Source organism: Homo sapiens, chromosome 22, assembly GCF_000001405.40.
Source record: "Homo sapiens chromosome 22, GRCh38.p14 Primary Assembly".
NCBI classification, from domain to species: Eukaryota; Metazoa; Chordata; class Mammalia; order Primates; family Hominidae; genus Homo; species Homo sapiens.
In genome coordinates, this window is record NC_000022.11 from 41,470,467 (window position 1) to 41,491,694 (window position 21,228).

The window sequence follows — 21,228 nt, forward strand, 5'->3', positions numbered from 1 at the left end:
ATATTTCTGATCTCAATTCCGGGCTAAGGGAAAGGATTTGCACCTAATTATCTCTTTACATCTTTTTTTTTTTTTTTTTTTTTTTTTTTTTTTTTTGAGACAGTCTTGCTCTGTCACCCAGGCTGGAGTGCAATGGCGCAATCTTGGCTGACTGCAACTCTGCCTCCTGGGTTCAAGTGACTCTCCTGCCCTCAGCTTCCCGAGTAGCTGGGATTACAGGTGTGCACCACCATGCTTGGCTAATTTTTGTATTTTTAGTAGAGACGGGGTTTCACCCTGTTGACCAGGCTGGTCACAAACTCCTGACCTCAAGTAATCGGCCTGCCTTGGCCTCCCAAAGTCCTGGGATTACAGGTGTGAGCCACCACACCTGGCCTCTTCACGTCTTTTGATTCTCTAGGTTAATGATGTGGAAATAGTTGTTTCTTCCTGTCTCATGATTTAAGGGAGTCAGGCAAGATTATTTGATAAGATAAATGATTATAGAGTTCTTGAACTTGGAAGAGAAGAATAGTATCACACCATTTTGAACCGAAAAGGATCTTGGAAAGTATGAGTATTAGACTGGTGTAGAAGGAGATCTGGGCTCTCTTTCCTGATCCTGTGACCTTGAGTAAGTTACTTCCTGAATCCATTGTCCATTGGAGATGATCTTCATTGAACAAATGTATATTCAGCAAGTGGATGTTAGAAAGTGATGAGCAAGTAGAATGAGTTTACAACCATCACGTAGACTAACCTCTTATACAGGTGGAAAAATCTAAGACCTTGAGAGCCTGGGTGACTTCCAGTAGCAGAGTCAGGATTAAAATCCTGGTCTCCTTGTTTGTTCCTTCAGCTAAGATGAATGAACAATATTATGCAGTTTGCACACTGCCTCCCAATAACCAGGCTGTCTCAAATAACCAACTAACACGGTTTCTCTGAGAAGCTTGTATATTTACCCCTTTTGTGCTTAGATACATTTGAGAAGTGATGGTTACTACCTTAATAGTCATGTATGCAAAACCCTATGCCTGTAGTCAATTCATTCCTACCTCATTCACCATATATTTACTGAGCGCCCAATGCTTGTTCTGGATACCGTGGTAAGCAAAGACAGTCCCTGTTCTCGTGGAGCTTCCACTGTATTCTAATGTACCTGACTGCAGAGGGCCTTGGAGATCTTTCTCAGCCAAATATAGTATTTTTCTTTCCTTGGCTGGACCAAAGGTGAAGGTAGATAATAGAATGATGGGTGTTACTCCCAGCACTAAGAGTACCTAACATTTATCTTACTGTGTATGACTAATTTCACATGACTCTGTGAGATGAGGCAGGCCTATTAGCCTGATTTATAGATGAAGAAACAGGATTAGAGAGCAAACATAGTGTTATGGTTGAGAGCATGGACTCTGGCATCAGGCAGCCTAGATTTGAATACCGTAATGACTCTAACACTCATGTAGCTGTGTTTTGGGTAAGTTACTCAACCTCTCTGCACCTGTTTCCTTGCCTTTAGATACAATAATAATAGTATGTCTGTTTCAATCATGTAATAGTTGTAAAGTATTTAGAACCCTGCCTGGTACTTAATAAGGGCTATATAATTGCTAAATAAATTTGTGGCAGGGTGCAGTGTCTCACGCCTGTAATCCCAGCACTTTGGGAGGCCAAGGCAGGTGGATCACAAGGTCAGGAGTTCGAGACCAGCCTGGCCAATATGGTGAAACCCCATCTCTACTAAAAACACAAAAATTAGCTGGGTGTGGTGGCAGGCGCCTGTAGTCCCAGCTACTCGGGAGGCTGAGGCAGAAGAATCCCTTGAACCCAGGAGGCGGAAGTTGCAGTAAGCCGAGATCGCGCCACTGCACTACAGCCTGGGTGACAGAGTGAGACTCCGTCTCAAAAAAAAAAAAAAAAAATTGCCTGGGGCTTTATCAGTAGTTGTTAGTAGGTATGGTTTGAATCTGGACATGTCTGATTCCGAAGCCTGAGGGCTTAGCAACTGGCACTATGCTGCTTCCCTTTGGCATCGAGCTCAGCCTGTGGATCAGGGCACCATAACCTCAGAACAGTGCCAAGTTGAATGTGTACTCTCGTTTGACAGTACCTGCTACCAGGTAGTAAGATTAGAAATAAGAAAATAGAACGTGGGTTTTGTTTTATTTTGTTTTGTTTTTTTAAAGAAATGGGGGTCTCGCTATGTTGCCCAGGCTAGTCTCAAATTCCTGGGCTCAAGCAATCCTGGCTTGGCTTCCCAAAGTGCTGAGATTACAAGCGTGAGCCACTGCAACCAGCTAAGGAGGTGAGATTTTTGAAAAACCACATTTATTCTCTGGTTTTTAGCATTTATTTTTGTGCATATGACTGAGTAGTACACAAGAGGGGCTGAGCAGTTGCAAGTATGTTTATTAGGTGTTTGGTTTTGCCTTGAGATAACTGGGGTGCTGAGGTTTCATGTGACCTTGGGGGAAGTCATGTAACCTCTTGCATATAAATTTGTGATGGCAGTTAACTACAAAAATATTTGGCAGAAACTCTGTGCCATGTTAAAATAAAATCTTGGTTTGAATTGTGAAACAGATGATTCTGGTTGTATGGTCACTGTGATAACCTTCGCAGATATCAGTTGTTATTAGAATTGAGTGAATGAATTGGTAAATAAGCTTCCATCTTAGATGTGGACAGAGGGAACAGACACACCATCCTGAGGATTAAGGGAGCACAGCATTACCTTTCAAACCAACTGCTTCACAGTGTTCTTTGAAAGCTTTGGCTGGGCTCGGTGGCTCACGCCTGTAATTCCAGCACATTGGGAGGCCAAGGCAGATGCATCACCTGAGATCAGAAATTCAAGACCAGCCTGGCCAACATGGTGAAACCCAATAGCTAATAAAAACACAAAATAAGCCGGGTGTGGTGGCACATGCCTGTAATCCCAGCCACTCGGGAGGCTGAGGCAGGAGAATCACTTGAACCCAGGAGGTGGAGGTTGCAGTGAACCGAGATCACGCCATTACACTCCAGCCTGGGCAACAAGAGTGAAACTCTGTCTCAAGAAAAAGAAAGAAAAAGCTTAATGTCTAGCACTGCCTAGCATTGTTCTAGACACTGGGGGTGCAGTAGTGAACAAGAATAGTGGGGCTTAAATTGTTGTCCTGGGGAAATTACGTAGAAAAATAAGAATATTGTATTACTGAGTGTTGTGGGGAAGATAAGGTAGAGAGAATAGGGGTGGGAACATGGCATTTTTAACTGGGGTGTTTGGGGAAGACCTCGTAGAAGAGGTGACATCTGAACTGGGACTTAAATGATACGAACGCAGCTGTTTACCATTTTTGGAGGAGACTTCAAATAGAAGGAGCATGTGCAGAGCACCCACCTAGGTATGAGCTGAGTGTGTTGAGGATAAGAGCTAAGGCCAGTGTTGCTACAGTGTCCTGAGGAGCGAAAGGTCTGAACAAGAGGCTGGGGCTAGGGTCAGGCAGGCTTCGGTAAGGAAATCCAAGTGTAGTGAAAACTGGGAGATTTTAAGCCAGGGAGTGATGTGATCTGATCATCTGGGCTGCTGCGTGCATGATGGACCATAGAGGGTCAAAAGGAGGAGGCAGGGAGACCAGTGGGGGACTGTTGGAGTCATCCCAGGAATGGCAGAGGAGTCTGGGACTAGGGATCTGGGGGGTGGAGATAATGAGATGTATTCAAAATTGGGATATATTTGGAGGCAGATGGGTTGGCGCATGGGAGGGATAGAGAATAAGGGTGACTCCTGGGTTTGGGGTCTTAGTAACTGAGGGATGGGTGAGCTTGATTGAATTCAGTGGTCGTGTGTTTGCAGTCATTTTTTTTTTTTTTTTTTTTTTGAGACAGGGTCTCGCTCTGTCACCCAGGCTGGGGTGCAGTGGCGCGATCTCGGCTCACTGCAAGCTCTGCTTCCTGGGTTCATGCCATTCTCCTGCCTCAGCCTCCCGAGTTGCTGGGACTACAGGCGCCTGCCACCACGTCTGGCTAATTTTTTGTGTGTTTTTAGTAGAGACGGGTTTCACGTGTTAGCCAGGATGGTCTCAATCTCCTGACCTCATGATCCGCCCGCCTCTGCCTCCCAAAGTGCTGGGATTACAGGCGTGAGCCACTGCGCCTAGCCTTTTTTTTTTTTTTTTTTTTTTTTGAGACGGAGTCTCACTCTGTCACCCAGGCTGGAGTGCAGTGGCGCGATCTTGGCTCACTGCAAGCTCCGCCTCCCAGGTTCACGCCATTCTCCTGCCTCAGCCTCCTGAGTAGCTGGAACTACAGGCGCCCGCTACCATGCCTGGCTAATTTTTTTTTGTATTTTTAGTAGAGACAGGGTTTCACTATTAGCCGGGATGGTCTCGATCTCCTGACCTCATGATCTGCCTGCCTCGGCCTCCCAAAGTGCTGGGATTACAGGCGTGAGCCACTGCACCCGGCCTGCACAGTACTTATAAAAATTAGCTAAGGGCAGAATCTCATTGATAAATTTTTGATTCTTTCATCAGTTCTCAAGTACTTTATTTCACAGGTGAGAAAGCCAGATGACGTCAAGTGTCTTACCCAGGGGCCCTCACTTGAGTCGAGTATGAGCATATTGTCTCATGTGGACTCTGTCCTATCTGGTCTTATTGTGAAACCTGGTGTGTGTCCAAGAGGGCCATCTTGTAAATGCTTACCTTTTTTATAAAAAAAAAAAAATTGTTTTTTCCTTTTTTTTTTTTTTTTTTTTTGAGATAGGGCCTCATTCTGTCAGCCAGGCTGGAGTGCAGTGGTGTAATTATAGCTCACTGCAGCCTTGACCTCCTGGGCTCAAGCAGTCCTCCCACCCCAGCCTCCCTAGTAGCTGGGACTAGAGGCATGTGGCACCATGCCCAACTAATTTTTTATTTTTTGTGGAGATGGGGATCTTGCCATGTCACCCAAGCTGGTCTTGAACTCCTGAGCTCCCAAAGTGCTGGGATTATAGGCGCGAGCCACTGTGCCTGGCTAGTGGGAAGAGAGTGTTGAGTCTTCCTTGGCTCCAGCTTTCTTTGACTTGCCTCGTTTTCCCAGCACCTGGTTTGGAAGGCAGTGGTGGGCTCTGGGCCTCTCAGCATGAAGGAAGGAAGGTATTGTAGAGAGACTTCTTGTAGCCTTTAAAAAGCAGCAAATGGGCCGGACGTGGTGGCTCACGCCTGTAATCCCAGCACTTTGGGAGGCTGAGGTGGGTGGATCACAAGCTCAGGAGTTCGAGACCAGCCTGGCCAATATGGTGAAACCCCATCTTTACTAAAAATACAAAAAAAAAATTAGCCAGTCGTGGTGGCGCATGCCTGTGATCCCAGCTACTCAGGAGGCTGAGGCAGGAGAATCAGCTGAACCCAGGAGGTGGAGGTTGCAGTGAGCCGAGATCGCGCCACTGCACTCCAGCCTGGGCAACAGGGTGAAACTCTGTCTCAAAAAAAAAAAAAAAAGCAGCAGATGGACCCTCAGGAGCCTTAGGAGACTTCTGCCACTGGCTTACTGGGTAGCTTCGGGCAAAGTCTCAACTCTCTGTGGTCCTGCAGTTAGTTACACATCTGCAAAACAGTGTAATTAATAACTACCCTTCAGTTAAGAAGGGTTCTGAAGGCCTAATATTTGAAAAGTTGTTTTGACTCTGTTTGATGTGTTATAAAGCATTGTGAGCCGGGTGTGGTGCCTCATGCCTGTAATCCCAGCACTTTGGGAGCCCAAGGCAGGTGGATCACCTGAGGTCAGGAGCTCAAGACCAGCCTGACCAACATGGTGAAACCCCGTCTGTACTTAAAATACAAAATTAGTCAGGTGTGGTGGCGCATGCCTGTAATCTCAGTTACTTTGTGGGCTAAGACAGGAGAATCGTTTGAACCTGGGAGGCGGAGGTTGTACTGAGTTAAGATTGTGCCATTGCACTCCAGCCTGGGCAACAAGAATGAAACTCTGTCTTAAAAAAAAAAAAAAAAAAGGCCAGACGCAGTGGCTCACACCTGTAATCCCAGCATTTTGGGAGGCCAAGGCAGGCAGATCACCTGAGGTCAGGAGTTTGAGACCAGCCTGACCAACATGGTGAAACTCCATCTCTACTAAAAATAGAAAAAAATTAGCTGGGTGTGTGGGTGGTCGCCTGTAGACCCAGCTACTCGGGAGGCTGAGGTACGAGAATCGCTTGAACCTGGGAGGCAGAGCTTGCAATGAGCCGAGATTGCGCCACTGTACTCCAGCTTGGGCAACAGAGCGAGACTCTGTCTCAAAAACAAAACAAAACAAAAAAACAAAAAAACACACACACTGCAAATAGTTTCTGATATTATTTTAGGAATAGGCCATTTCTAAGATTGAGAGTAGGGACAGATTTTCCCCTTGTAGAATATCTTCATTTTGGAAGTCTTGAAAGGTAGGGAGAATGGGCCAGGCATGGTAGCTCACGGCTGTAATCCCAGGACTTTGGGAGGCCGAGGTGGGTGGATCACTTGGGGTCAGGAGTTCAAGACCAGCCTGGCCAACATGGTGAAACTCTGTCTCTACTAAAATACAAAAAATTAACTGGGCATGGTGGCGTGTACCTGTAATCCCATTTACTTGGGAGACTGAGGCAGGAGAATCAGGTTCAAGCGAGTCTCCTGCCTCAGCCTCCCAAGTAAATTAAAGGTAGGGAGAATGGTTTCCATATTATTTATTTATTTATTTATTTATTTATTTATTTATTTTTTTGAGACGGAGTCTGGCTCTGTCTCCCAGGCTGGAGTGCAGTGGCGCGATCTCCACTCAGTTCAAGCTCCGCCTCCCGGGTTCACGCCATTCTCCTGCCTCAGCCTCCTGCGTAGCTGGGACTACAGGCACCCGCCACCACGCCCAGCTAATTTTTTGTATTTTTTTTTTTAGTAGAGATGGGGTTTCACGGTGTTAGCCAGGATGGTCTCAATCTCCTGACCTTGTGATCCACCTGCCTCGGCCTCCCAAAGTGCTGGGATTACAGGCGTGAGCCACCGCACCCGACCTCTTTAGTTTTATTCTGCAGCACCTGGGCCAGAGGAAGGGGCACCAGCTTTGGAGCCAGGCCTGGAATTCCACCTTGCTGCGTGACCCTGGGCAAAACAGTTAGCATTCCAGAGCTTCAGTTTCCTCATCCATTAAATGGGCACAATGCCTTCTGCCTCACAGGGTAGTCGTGGGATTGTGTGGATAAAGTACTTGGGGCAAATCCAGTGCAGGGTAGAGGCACTTGGTGAATATTCATTTCTGTCTCCAGCCCCTGCAGATGGCCCGCGGCATCCATCACCCCAGCCTTTATCCTTAGCTCATACGTTTAAAAAAGACCAGTTGTGGCCGGGCACAGTGGCTCACGCCTGTAATCCCAGCACTTTGGGAGGCCGAGATGGGTGGATCACGAGGTCAGGAGTTTGAGAACAGTGTGGCCAATGTAGTGAAACCCCGTCTCTACTAAAAATACAGATATGAGCCGGGCATGGTGGTGTGCGCCTGTAGTCCCAGCTACTTGGGAGGCTGAGGCAGAAGAATCGCTTGAACTCAGGAAGCAGAGGATGCAGTGAGCCGAGATCACGCTGCTGCACTCCAGCCTGGGCAACAGAGCGAGACTCTGTCTCAAAAAAAAAACCAAACCAGTTGTGAAAATTGCTTGTTCCTCCCATCATCTCCCCAGATAGCAGGTAAGTGGTAGTTGTTCAAGGAAACCTTTTTTTCAAGATAGAGTCTCGCTCTGTTGCTCAGTCTGGATGCAGTGGCATGATCTCACTGCAACCTCCACCTCCTGGGTTCAAGCAGTTCTTTTGCCCCAGCCTCCCAAGTAGCTGGGATCACAGGCACGCACCACCATGCCCAGCTAATTTTTGTATTTTTTGTTTTAGTAGAGACAGGGTCTCACCCTGTTGGCAAAGCTGGTCTCCAACTCCTGACCTCAAGTGGTCCAGCTGCCCCAGCTTCCCAAAATATTGAGATTACAGGCGTGAGCCACTGCGCCTGGCCAAGAAAACCCTTTCAATACTGTTTTAAAAGAGTTGGGGGAAGAGGTAGAAATGAATCTTTTGGTTTAGTTTTTTAATTCTCTAAGGACAACATTGGGGAAGTGAGCTTTAGAGTTATATTTGCAGTATTTATTTTTATCATGAAATATTCAAGTCTAGGCCCTTGGTGAATTGAGGCCTGGTGAGTATTTCTGCTTTCCCCCTGGAGAGATTGAGATGGTTTCTGATTGGGAGCTTTAATTCTGTGGGCATTTGTGGGACTTACCAAAGAGGTATCTAGAGTTCCTTTAAAACCCCCGCCCTGTCCCTGCCACATATCTTCTTTTTTTTTTTTTTTTTTTTGAGAAGGAGTCTCACTCTGTAGCCCAAGCTGGAGTGCAGTGAGTGACACGATCTCTGCTCACTGCAACCTTTGCCTCTGGGGCTCAAGCAATTCTCCTGCCTCAGCCTCCCAAGTAGCTGGGACCAGAGGCATGCGCCACCACACCTGGTTAATTTTCTTGTATGCCACACTTCTTTAGTTCCTTGTAGCCGGGCTCCTTGACCTTCTGCAGGGCATCTGTGGTTGTGGTATTTATAAGCACTCACTGTGTCATGAGTGTGTTCACAGAGCTCTAAGACAAGGGCCCTGTCTGTGGAAGAGCTTTTAGGGTGGTGAGGGAGAAGTCATCTAAATAGCTATAATACACGGTACTGAAGCAAGGAGTAGGTGGGGGAATTTGCTGGGTGGGACTAAGTACAGCCTCAGCCACCCGTCCTGGAACATGGATGTAGTGGTGGTGTGTTTGGTCCGCCCACAGACAATGACAGATGCCCATCCAGGCCTGGAGGAGCGGAGAAACGCATTACCCACCATCTGTTGAGCAATCAGGCCCTCTGTGCCAGTCACAGAACTAGGTCTTGTTTTACAAATATTGCCTCATTTGTCCTTCACAACAACCCTAAGAAGTACATATGAGTAGCCTGTTTCACAGTGATGAAACTGAGTCCCAGAGAGGTTAAATAGCTCCTCTGAGGTCACAGCTAGCACATGGATGCAGATTTGACTGCAGAACCCAGGCTTTTTACCAGTCAGCCAAACCGTTTCCCCAGAGGGAGTAGAAACTGATCTCTGTGGAGTGGGCTGGATATAGGGGATACAGTTCAGTCGGCTCTGTGCCTGTTTGGGTTATGTCTTTGAGACTGTGATTGTCTCCTGCCCTAAACACCAGTGAGGCTGGTGGGGGAGAGGCTAGAGGGGTGGGTTGCACAGAGGCAGCTTTATTCCTTGACTGAGCTTCAGCTCAGCCTCACAGGCTGCCTGTTGAGCTTGCAGAGAATGCCCGTCTCAAGTGTGTAGGTGCAGAGCTGCTGCCTGTGGGGCCAGAGCAGGGCTTGGGATTTGTATGCAGTTCATAGTGTACGACTGATGTAGGCAGCAAAAGAGAATTAGTCAGATGAGCGAATCTGTCATCAGCCTATTCCTTAAAGGAACCCCCTGCTGCCTTTGGTACCCATTTAGAGGCTTTGACTTGGAGAGACATGGCTCCTTGCTCCCTTTCCAAGCCTCTGAAAAGGACTGCATCACTTTTGTTCCTGCCAGTTGCATAGCAACCAAGCTAGCTGACTGCCTGCTGGCAGGAGGGAATTGTTTAGCTTTGATTTCTTAGGAGAGGAGCCAGGCATCGCCTACCAGGAGGGGGAGAAAATTGTTAGAAGCCCTGCAATGGAGGTGTGGGAAGATGCTTCTCCTTAGGAGGGTGTGGACTGATGTGCATTCCTGTGTTGCCCACTTAGACAGAGTCCACCTGAGACTTCTCTGCCAGGAAGGGCTAGGCAGTTAGTTGCTAAGAGATGTGAGCCCGAAGTCATCCTTCTGTGAAATGGGCTGCCGTGTAATGTATGAGTTCCCCACTGCTGGAGACAGCTTGGCTAGGTTGGGTGAGTGTGTTAGGCATTCAAATACAGAAGGAGTGGATAGATGAGGCCTTTTCAGTTCCATTTCAATTCCAAGATGTGCTGTCCTGGTGCTTGGGACCTGCTCTGGGGCTCTGGTCTTTGGTGGCTGGGGAGGGAGAAGTAGGCGGCATAGTGGAAAAACATCTGCCCGTAATCCTCTCCCCAGTACACAGGCAGGCCACGTTTTAGTAGCAGCATCTCATTCTCCCAGGCGAACTGAGTAATAGCAGCTTACGTTTATTGAATGCCTGCCAGAAGCCCAGCTACCAAGCTCTATGCCTTTCGTATATATTTTTTGTAATAGAATGCAGTATATTCATAAAAGCTCTCTTCTCCCCGTCCCAGTCCCCAGGGCAATTTTGTGTTTATCATTCTAGACTTTTCCTCTGTATTTACAAGTCTTTCTAATCCTCACAAAATCTCTGCCATTTTTGTTGTTGTTGTTGTTCTTCCGAGATGGAGTCTTGCTCTGTCACCCAGGCTGCAGTACAGTGGCTCGATCTTGGCTCACAGCAGCCTCAAACTCCTGGGCTCAAGCAATTCTCCCACCTCAGTCTCCTGAGTAGCTCAGACTATAGACACAGGCTAATTTTTGTATTTTTTTGTAGAGATGGGGGTCTCGCTTTGTTGCCTAAGCTGGTCTTGAACTCTGGGCTCAGGAGTGGTGGTGATCCACCTGTCTCGGCTTCCTAAAGTGCTGGGATTACAGGCATGAGCCATTACCCTCGGCCAAAATCTCTGCTCTTTTACCCCCATGTTACAGAAGAGGAAATTAAGGCTCAGAGAGGTAAAGAATCTTACCTGAGGTCCCACAGCTAGGGAAGCTGAGATTCCAAGCCAGATCCCTCCAGCCCTAGAGTGGATGCCATTTCTGTGACTCGGCACTTGTCTTGGAGTGTTTCCATGATGGCACTCTGACAAGTGCTTGGTGACTTCTCTGTCAGTTGTTAAAGCAACTGTCTCAAGAGACCTGGCCTCTCCCGGACCCTGGCCTGTTTGGGTGGCTCGGCACCCTCAGCTCTGTAGCTTGCTCTGTATGCTGGGGCTCACTGGTACATGGCTCCCCAACAAGCAGTGCTGTATGCACCATGCTGGACAAGGTGGGCAGAAGCCTGCCCGAGAATAGGTCAGTCCGTTTCGATTGTAGTATTCTCTGAATACAACTGGTCCCAAGGGAAGACCTCCGACCTCCGTCCTTTGGGAAGAGAGGGCAGCATGTCTGACTTTGGCCGAGTGGGGTTGTGGGGAGTTCTGAGTGGGTGTACATGTGATGTGCCGTGGGGTGGGCCCTTTTCCCATCTGCCACAGCTCTGAACCCGTGCTGTTGCTCATCACGGCTTCTGCCAGAGGCACTTAACTTGAGTTTGAAAGCACAATCCAGAAGGCCGGTGGTCGTGTCACGGCTCTGCCTTCATCTGTTTCATCAGTAAGTCTTTCTTGAACTTCTTCTATGTGTTGGACATTGTCCTAGGTTCTGAATATATTGTGACCAGAATAGACCATTTTTTGTCCCCATGGAGCTTATATTTTAGTGGACTTTACTTTCCCATCTGGTCCAAGTCTCTGTCTTCTCATGTAAACAAGGGACAGAATGACCTGTAGTAATCCCACTTGGCACAATTGTTAGGGTAAGAGAGCTGTTGTCATCTCGCCAGCAGCATCCTTTCTTCCCTTGTCTTGCCTAGCCGTGTGGTGCCTGGCTCCCCGGTGGGGGTCTGCTGTGGGGATGCCCCTTCCCTCAGCGTTTGCCCACTGTTCTGTGTTGGTAGATGCAGGATCAGCAGAGCCTCCCTTACTCCCTGGAAGCCCTGGAGATTTGTGGCTCATCCAGCTAGACTCAGCAAAGGCACTTAGGGTCAGCAGTTGGGACCAACAACCCCCTGGAGGACTCAGCCCACCTGGCCGCTGGGCCTGAAGCAGAGGTTGGGAGACACTGTCGGTAGCACAGGGAGAAAGTCTCGGCCTCTGCAAGTTCCCAGCTGTTTGACCTTAGGCAGGCCCCTTCCTGTCTCTGAGCCTCTGCAGCTTCAGGCAGTTAGGGAGGCTGAGCTATGCACAGCAAGGTTCACAAGAGTCACACAGAGATGTGTGGGAGGTGATAGTTACTCCAAAACAGATCTGTGGGCATCTGGCTACTGGTCACCCTGATGGGAGACTCCCACTTAGGTGTAAAATTAGGAAGTTGTTTTGTGGCTGAGGAAGTGCTATAACGATGCTTAGGATGGAGAAGACATAATTGTGGTTTTCAGTGATTTGAAGGGCTGGTTGTGGAAGACTGACTAGCCTCATTTGATCTGGTTCCAAAGGATAGGACTAGGAAGTTAGGCCTGTCATGTGCCAGGCACTGGTCTAGGTTCTCTCCTTTCATCCTCACTGCAGCCTGTGAAGCATTATCCCCATTTACAGATGGGAAAAATTGATGTTTAGAGGGATTAAATAAAACCACAGAAGGTTATACAGCTTGTAAGGGGCAGAGCTGGGATTTGAGCCCAGATCTCCAAAGCTGGAATGATGTAATGGGGGCACATTTTCATTTGATTTAAGAAGCATTAGTTTAAAATCTTAGAACTGACCAGTAGTAGAATAGGCTTTTGGGAAGAGAGTGAGCTTCCAGACCTAGTCATGTTGAACCAGGGGGCTTATGGGAGTTGATGAGGGGAGATTTTCTGCCTCGAGGCCACCTCAGTCCTGCCCTCAGCCCCTTTGTTCCCCAGAAAGTGGGGGAAAGTGGAGGGCGAGGGCGCAGTGAAAGTATTTCTTCTAGATGAGGGCCTGGGATTTACCAGTGAGGATTTTACAAGGCCTGAGACGTAGGCTCCAAGTATGGGAAAAAATTTTCCCGTTTCCCAGTTTTGGGAAAACTGTGTTGGATGGCCTTATGGGTGACCTCAGGAATGTCTCTGTGGCCTGAGGTTGAACTGAGCATTGAGTGTGTTTTACTTTTGGAATCAGGAAATAAAAACAGAACTCTGTAAAGTTATTTTTAAAAAATATGGCTGGGTGCAGTGGCTTATGCCTGTAATCCCAGCACTTTGGGAGGCCAAGGCGGGCGGATCACTTGAGGTCAGGAGTTCGAGACCAGCCTAGCCAACATGGCAAAACCCTGTCTTTACTAAAAATACAAAAATTAGCTGGGCGTGGTGGTGCATGCCTGTAATCCCAGCTACTCAGCAGGCTGAGGCAGGAGAATCGCTTGAACCCAGGAGGCAGAGGTTGTAGTGAGCCAAGGTTGCGCCACCGTATTCCAGCATGGGCGACAGAGTGAGACTCCGTCTTAAAAAAAAAAAAAAAGAAAATTAAAAATATGCCCAAGGCATCATCATCATCCTTCCTTAAATAATACTGGGCTGGGCATGGTGGCTTACACCTTTAATCCCAGCACTTTAGGAGGCTGCAGTGGGAGGATGGCAGATACTTGAGGATGTGTTCTCTCAAAACGACAGTAATCTAAGAAAAATCCATTGAATCCAGGAAACAAGAATCCAACTCAAGAGGAGGACAGGATATTCTAAGGATACTAATGGATGTGAGTTCCAGAGAGGTATTAGACCTTATGGGGAAGGAGACAGAGGCTCCAGGAGATGACGAGGCTGGTGGATCTCCTGACGCATTCATAATATCGAGTGTCGTAGCCGATGGAGAGTTTGAGAATGAATTTGTGATAAGTACACCAAGTGTTGAAGTTTGTTGTCTTTGGGGCAGGGAAATGGGGGGTTGGGACTTGAGTCCTGGTTTCCTTTATAATGATAGTTTTTAAATTTTAATAATGCGTAAAGATGTTACTCTGATCAAAATAGAAAATTACATTAAAAACAAAAGTATCAAATACTACTAATAAAGATTAGTATTATCAGGGTTGTATTTGCTCAGAAACTTCAGCCCTGACACCTGTTCAGTGTGGGTACAATGGATTCCATGGTACCAGGGATTGTGGGGAGGGAGAGATGCAGCATGGACTAGTGCTTGGTGCCTTGCTTGGAGTCATTGAGTATTAGAGACCCACAAGATATCCTGTACCAGGCCAGGGAGCTGGTGGATGGGTAATGATGATAGATGTCCCTGGATGGGCTTCAGGGAGTCTGTAAAATTGTGTGTTTTATGATTTTTCTATATTTTCTCCATGAAATATATCTTGCTTTTTATAACGGAGGAAAAATTCTGGTAATTTTTTTTTTAAATAGAGACTAGGTCTCACTATGTTGCCCAGGCTGGTCTTGAACTCCTGAGCTCAAGTGATCCTCCTGCCTCAGCCTCTCAAAGTGCTGGAATTACTTTTAGTATTTTACATATTACATAATTACATACTTGCTATTCTTTGGGAACCCATTCATATTATTTCATGCCTCACAGTAACTCAGAATAACATTCATATCATTTCATTCCTCACATAATACTGCAGATATTATTCTTTTTTTCCAAGTGAGGAAATTGGGGTGAAATGTGCTTGTCATGTAGGTAGTAAGTGACAGAGCTGGGCTTTGGAGTCAGCTCTTTTTTTTTTTTTTTTTTTTGAGATGGAGTTTCACTCTTGTTGCCCAGGCTGGAGTGCAATGGTGCAGTCTCAGCTCACTGCAACCTCCACTTCCCGGGTTCAAGTGATTCTCCTGCCTCAGCCTCCTGAGTAGCTGGGATTATAGGCGTGTGCGACCACACTCTGCTAATTTTTTTGTATTTTTATTAGAGACGAGGTTTCTCCATGTTGGTCAGGCTAGTCTCAAACTGCCAACCTCAGGTAATCCACCCACCTCAGCCTCCCAAAGTGCTGGGATCCGTGAGCCACTGCTCCTGGTCAGGTTAAGTTATCTTCACTGTGCCACATTGCCCCTTGTAAACAGCAGGTTATAGTTCAGGTTTTTAGGACAGCGAGCCACACCCTCCCCTGCCTGGCTGGGTTTCCACCCTGATCTTCCACTATTTCCTGCTTTGTCTTTTTTTTCGAGATGGAGTTTCACTCTTGTTGCCCAGGCTGGAGTGCAATGGCACAATCTTAGCTCACCACAACCTCTGCCTCCCGAGTAGCTGGGATTACAGCATGCGCTACCATGCCCGGCTAATTTTTTTTTTTTTTTTTTTTTTTTGAGACGGAGTCTCGCTCTGTCGCCCAGTCTGGAGTGCAGTGGCACGATCTCGGCTCACTGCAGGCTCCACCTCTCAGGTTCACGCCATTCTCCTGCCTCAGCCTCTCGAGTAGCTGGGACTACAGGCGCCCACCACCACGCCCGGCAAATTTTTTTTTGTATTTTTAGTAGAGATGGGGTTTCACTGTGTTAGCCAGGATGGTCTCGATCTCCTGACCTTGTGATCCACCCGCCTTGGCCTCCCAAAGTGCTGGGATTACAGGTGTGAGCCACGGCGCTCGGCCCGCCCGGCTAATTTTTGTATTATTAGTACAGACCGGGTTTCTCCATGTTGGTCAGGCTGGTCTCAAACTCCCGACCTCAGGTGATCCGCCTTTCTTGGCCTCCCAAAGTGCTGGGATTACAGGCTCGAGCCACCGTGCCTGGCCTCCTGCTTTGTCTTTTACACCCCAGCATTTTGAGTGATTGGCAGCTTCTGCATGCTTCACTTGGTGAGTCTCTGTGTGCATGCTGTGTGTTCTCTTCACCTGCCCTGCAAATGCCTGGTTGCCCTCTGCGACCCTGCTCAGGCGCTGCTCTCTCTGTGAAGCCTTGTGGAAACATCCCAGGCAGAGCTTCTCATTCTCTGTGCTCCACTCCTGCCCCTTGTGTGTGTGTGTGTCCTTCTTTCAAAGGTTACAGTGAGGTTTTGCATTTACTTCCTGATCTTGGCTAGACTGAGGCATATTAGTCTAGTGACTGTCTCACTCTTCTTGGTATCTGAGTCCTATTGCTTGGCACATAATAGAGTGCAAATGTGCTGCTAGGAAAGAGGGTACACGATAAGCTACTGTCAACCTCTTCTTTTTTTTTTGAGACGGAGTCTCGCTCTGTCACCCAGGCTGGAGTGCAGTGGTGTAATCTTGGCTCACTGCAACCTCTGCCTCCCAGGTTCAAGCGATTCTCCTGCCTCAGCCTCCCAAGTAGCTGGGACTACAGGTGTGTGCCACCACGCCCGGCTAACTTTTTGTATTTTTTTTTTTTTTTTTTTGAGACGGAGTCTTACTCTGTCGCCCAGGCTGGAGTGCAGTGGCGCGATCTCTGCTCACTGCAAGCTCCACCTCCCAGGTTCATGCCATTCTCCTACCTCAGCCTCCCAAGTAGCTGGGAGTACAGGCACCCGCCACCGTGCCCGGCCAATTTTTTGTATTTTTAGTAGAGACGGGGTTTCACCATGTTAGCCAGGATGGTCTCGATCTCCTGACGTTGTGATCCGCTCGCCTCGGCCTCCCAAAGTGCTGGGATTACAGGCGTGAGCCATTGCTCCCGGCCCATTGTGTAGCATTTCTACACCTTCAAGGTCCCTCGTGATACCTGGTTCCTTTTTGTCTCCTCAGTCTTATTTTCTGCCATTTCTTCTTCACTTTGCCACAACCAAGCTGCTTTTCTTTTGTTTTCTTTTTTTTGAGACAGTCTGTCTCTGTCGCCCAGGCTGGAGTGCAGTGGCGCCATCTCGGCTCACTGTAGCTTCCGCCTCCCAGGTTCCAGTGATTCTCCTGCCTCAGCCTCCCGAGTAGCTGGGATTACAGGCGCCCACCACTACGTCCGGCTAATTTTTGTATTTTTGATAGAGACAGGGTTTCACCATGTTGACCAGGCTGGTCTCGAACTCCTGTCCTCAGGTGATTCACCCACCTCAGCCTCCCAGAGTGCTGAGATGACAGGCATGAGCCACCGTGCTTGGCTGCTTTTCTTTTCTTTCAGTTGCAAGTGCTTTCTTGCACATGCTGTTCTCTCTGTGCCAAATTCCCTGGACTCCTTCCCCTAAAGCCCATTTGTTTAGCCTCAGATCAAACATCACTTTCTTGGAGAAGCCCTTCCCCCATTCTGGATTAAGCTGTCCAGCTTTATGCTGTTACAGCAGCTTAACTTTTTATCACAGCACTTCTCTCACATAGTCACTTACACAGTCCCTTGAGTGATGACTTGACATGTTTTCTCACCTAAAATTCAGGCACCACAACACATAGTCTGGGACTGGAGAAACATTTAATGAATCAGGAAGACGTTAGTTTAAATTGGGGAGGTAGTATGGGAGGGAAAGCATTGACTTGATAATTGGAGGGCTTGAATTCTGCCCCTAACTTCTGTTAACTAGGTATGTGACCTTGGCATTCATATCCTCATCTGTCAAACAAAGAAAAAATTCTTGGTGATCTGGGGTCATCTTGAGTTGTGATAATCTATACTTCTAGATGAATCATCAAATTAACACAGCTCTAGAGGGCTGCTTATCTAGGATGAGAATCCACCTGCCTGCTTGGCCTCTCCACTTGGGTATCAGATAGTCCAATGTCCAGAACCAAACTCCTGATCTCACCGTGCATGCCTGCTCTTCCCGTTGCCTTCCCCATTTCGTTTATAGCAACCCATTTTCCCAGTTACTTAGGTCCAAAACCTAAGTTATATTCTTGATTCCTTCTCTCACACCCCTTGGCCAACTTTTCAGCAAATCCTACTATTATTACCTTCAAAATATATGCATCTCTAGCCAGTTTTTTTGAACTTGAACTCAAACATGATCTGGTTTGAGCCTGATAAAATCTTGCCTACTTTTGCGCTTGATTGCTCATATTTCTGTGGCCTCACTGAATCTTGCACCTAATGTGCACAATAGCAACTATAATACTACAGCACTTTCTGTTTTGGTGTCTTCCTTATTCTACCAGATGGTAATCCTGACGGTAGGGGCCCCATGGTGGTGTTCCCAGTGTCCAATGTGGTACAACTAGGCATCCCTCAGGTGCGCTATAGCAGATGGGACGTGGGCATGTCAAGATAGTGAGCCCTGGCTTTACCCTACCCTAGCAGGGTGACATGCTGAGCCTGCCGGTTGCCTCCTGGCAGCAGTTTAGTCTGCTTACTGCTCTGTGGTGTCCAAATGTATTATTTTGTTAATGTGCCTTAACTTGGAAAAGCTTGGAAGCCTCATGGTAACAGCATTTGGCACCTAGGAAGGTATTCATTGTTAAATGAATTCTTTGTTAAGTGAGGTAGACTACAGGGATCATTCTCCCTGTTTTATAGAAGAAAGAGTAAGCTGTGTGACCAGCCAGTGGCCTGATCATAATCGAGTGCTGTTCTGAGTCTCATGTGCGTTCTGGGGCAACACACTGGGTTGCATTTCACATGTGCACACATGTAGCTCGTTGCTTCCTTACCTGCATGTACATGAAGGTGAAGGCTGTGGCTAAGCCAGAAGGGCCTGGGTTCTGGGGGTTTCTTCCTTGATACAGATAAATCCATTCTGACATTGCTGTGCTTTCCTCCAGGCCTTTGGGGATTAAGGGGGTTTACTGGAGAGCCTGCTTGCTGGGGAGGAATATTTATAGACTGTGAGCTGGAAGGAACTTTGGAGAACATCAGGTTCAGTGGTTACCAGATGTGGCTATCTCAGAGTAACCTGGTAATCTTTTACTGATGCTTAGGCCCTACTGCAGGTGATCTGGTTCAGAGCTCTGGGAGTGATAGGGCTTAGAAGCTGAGTTTTTACAAAACCTTCCAGGTGATTTTGATACAGCTGGAATAATCCAGTTCCTCCTCCTCCCCTTTTTTTTTTGAGATAAGATCTTGCTCTGTGGTCCAGGCTGGAGTGCAGTGGCACACATGATCACAGCCCACTGCAGCCTTGACCTTCTGGACTAAAGCTGTCCTTCCATCTCAGCATCTCAGGGAGCTGGGACTACAGGCGTGTGCCACCTTGCTCGGCTAATTTTGTTTATCCTTTGTGGAGACAGGGTCTCACTGTGTTGTCCAGGCTGGTCTCAAACTCCTGGGCTCAAACCATCCTTCTGCCTTGGCCTCCCAAAGTGCTGGGATTACAGGTGTTGTGAGCCCTGCACTGGCCAAATAATAATACTCTTAATAGTAATACCCAGACCACATTCTTAATTTCTTCCAAAATGTCTTTGATAGCTATCTGTTTCCAAATCGAGATCTAATAAAAAACATACATTGCATTTGTTTTTCCATTTCTGCCTGTCTTAATCTACAGCAGCACCCCCGCTCCCTGCCCCAGCACTTTCTTCCCCATGACATTGACTCTTTGAAGAGACCAGGCCAGTTTTCCTGTAGAATGTCCACCTTCTGGGTTTCATTGTTCTTTTTTCCTCCTGCATTTCCCTTACTCTGGAGGTAAGGTTCCAAAGCTTGCTTAGATGCAGGTTAAACATTCTGGGCAAGACTTCTTTATAGGTGAGGCCGTGTCACCAGGAGGCACCGGTGTCGGGTGGTCCTGCTGTCGGTGGTGCCGTGTTTGATCTCTGGGTTAAAATGGTGGTAATCAGATCCTGCTATTGTAAAGGTACATTTTTTTTTTCCTTTTCCTTCATAGTGATAACTTCCTGTAAGTAAACTTGCTGAAACAAAGGGTTTGCACATTTCAAAAAACCAAAACGCTTTTGATTATTGTCAAATTGCCGCTAAACAATTCTGCTATTCTATATTTTAAGGAGTATGCTTTTCTTCACTATTTGCCTGGTTTATTTTTTCTTTTTCTGATTACAAAAGAAATGTATATATCATGCAACATTTAAAAGTTACAGGCCGGGCACGGTGTCTTACACCTGTAATCCTAGCACTTTGGGAGGCCCAGGCGGATGGATCACCTGAGGTCAGGAGTTCAAGACCAGCCTGGCAAACATGGTGAAACCCTGTCTTTACTAAAAATACAAAAATTAGCTGGGCGTGGTAGCACGTGCCTGTAGTCCCAGCTACTCAGTGGGGGGCTAAGGCAGGAGAATCGCTTAAACCCGGGAGGCGGAGGTTGCAGCCAGCCGAGACTGCGCCACTGCACTCCAGCCTGGGCGACAGAGCAAGACTCTGTGTCAAAAAAAAAAATTGTGGTCAAATCTAACAGAAAATTTGACATTTTAACCACTTTCAGTGTTCAATTCATTAGTACTAATTATGTTCATAATGTTGTGCAACCATCACCATTATCTTCTTTGTAAACAGCTGTAGAGTGGCATTCCATGGTGCATGAGCCAGAATTTATTCAATCAGTGCCCTGTGTATGGACAATTGGGTTGTTCTCTTAAAAACAGCGCCGCGGACAGTACCTTTGCCTGTCTCTCTGCTCTTTTATATATTTTAATTAGATAGTTTCCTGGAAGAGGGAAAGCTAGTCAAAGAGTGCAAACACTTTACATTTTAATATGTATTACCTAATTGTCTTTCAAAATGTTGAACCTCTTTACAGTCTAACTAAAAGCATCTAAGACTGATAAAGTATTGATTTGCCTTGATAACTGTTGGCTCTCACAAGACTAACTCAACCTGCTCTGTATTTTAATCCTGCTTAGTAAGGAAGAGCTGGTTGGGAAAGTAGAAGCAACATCCCTTTTTTTAACTAATTGGTATTTATGTAACACCTCCTGTGTATCGGGCTTGCTTTTCAGGCCGGGGGATTTTAGTTATGAATAAACAGAGACAATCTCTCCCTAGTGGAGCTTACAGACTAAAATATTTGGAGACAGACATCATCTCATGAATGAAGTCAAGGAGAGGTAAAGGGCATATATAATAGGAGGCTCTCATAGGGCTGGGGATTCGGAGAAGGATTCCCTGAGAAAGTGAAATGTATTTGGAGTTTGATGGATCAACTGGATGTTCCCTAGGCAAAGGGCAGACTGGGAATGGAGGTGGACAGCAAACATTCCAAGCAGAAGAAAAACTGCATCTGTAAAGACCTGTGGCAGGTCCCTTTAGAATGTGTTCTGGCCAAGGAGGTTCATCATGTTCAGTGCCCTTGAGGAAGGCGGGTTCTGAATTTCCCAGATACCAGATAGATGAGATCCCACTGCCAGGGGCCCATGAGCAGAAGGGGTTTGAGAGGGATGGGAGACTTTCCAAGGCAAATTCTAACAAATTACAAATAATCTGGAGAGGAGAAAGAGAGGCACCTAAATAAATCAGTTTAGAGTTTTAGAATGACTTGTCCAAAGTTGGAAGGGGGTCAGGTAACCAAGGAGGAACAGTGCAGAGCAGCTGGAATACATCAGAAGGGGGTCAGGAATGCCAAAGGACCTGATGAGCTAAGGCTTCTGGAAAATGCTAATCAGCCACAAGGGCCTTTAAAACTGTCTGCAGTAAGAAAAATAAGAAGAGGCATGCTGTTTCTGGCAACATCCAGAGAACGAACACAATGTCACCACTTCTAGTTTTACGTTCATCTCCTTTATGGAGGAAACAATATA

The 21,228-nt window shown here is 47.0% G+C and overlaps 1 protein-coding gene across 1 annotated transcript in view, besides 1 other annotated feature; it reads left to right on the forward strand.

Annotated features, from left to right (window-relative positions):
- Positions 1 to 21,228, forward strand: part of ACO2 (aconitase 2) — a 59,858-nt gene that overhangs the window by 1,350 nt on the left and 37,280 nt on the right. The gene's annotated exons all lie outside the window — the stretch shown is intronic.
- Positions 5,816 to 5,925: a silencer, noted in NCBI's record as "silent region_13791". NCBI's record gives its function as "represses an Ori minimal core promoter by ATAC-STARR-seq in GM12878 lymphoblastoid cells {active_cell/tissue: GM12878}" and the evidence as "EXISTENCE:reporter gene assay evidence [ECO:0000049][PMID:35858748]".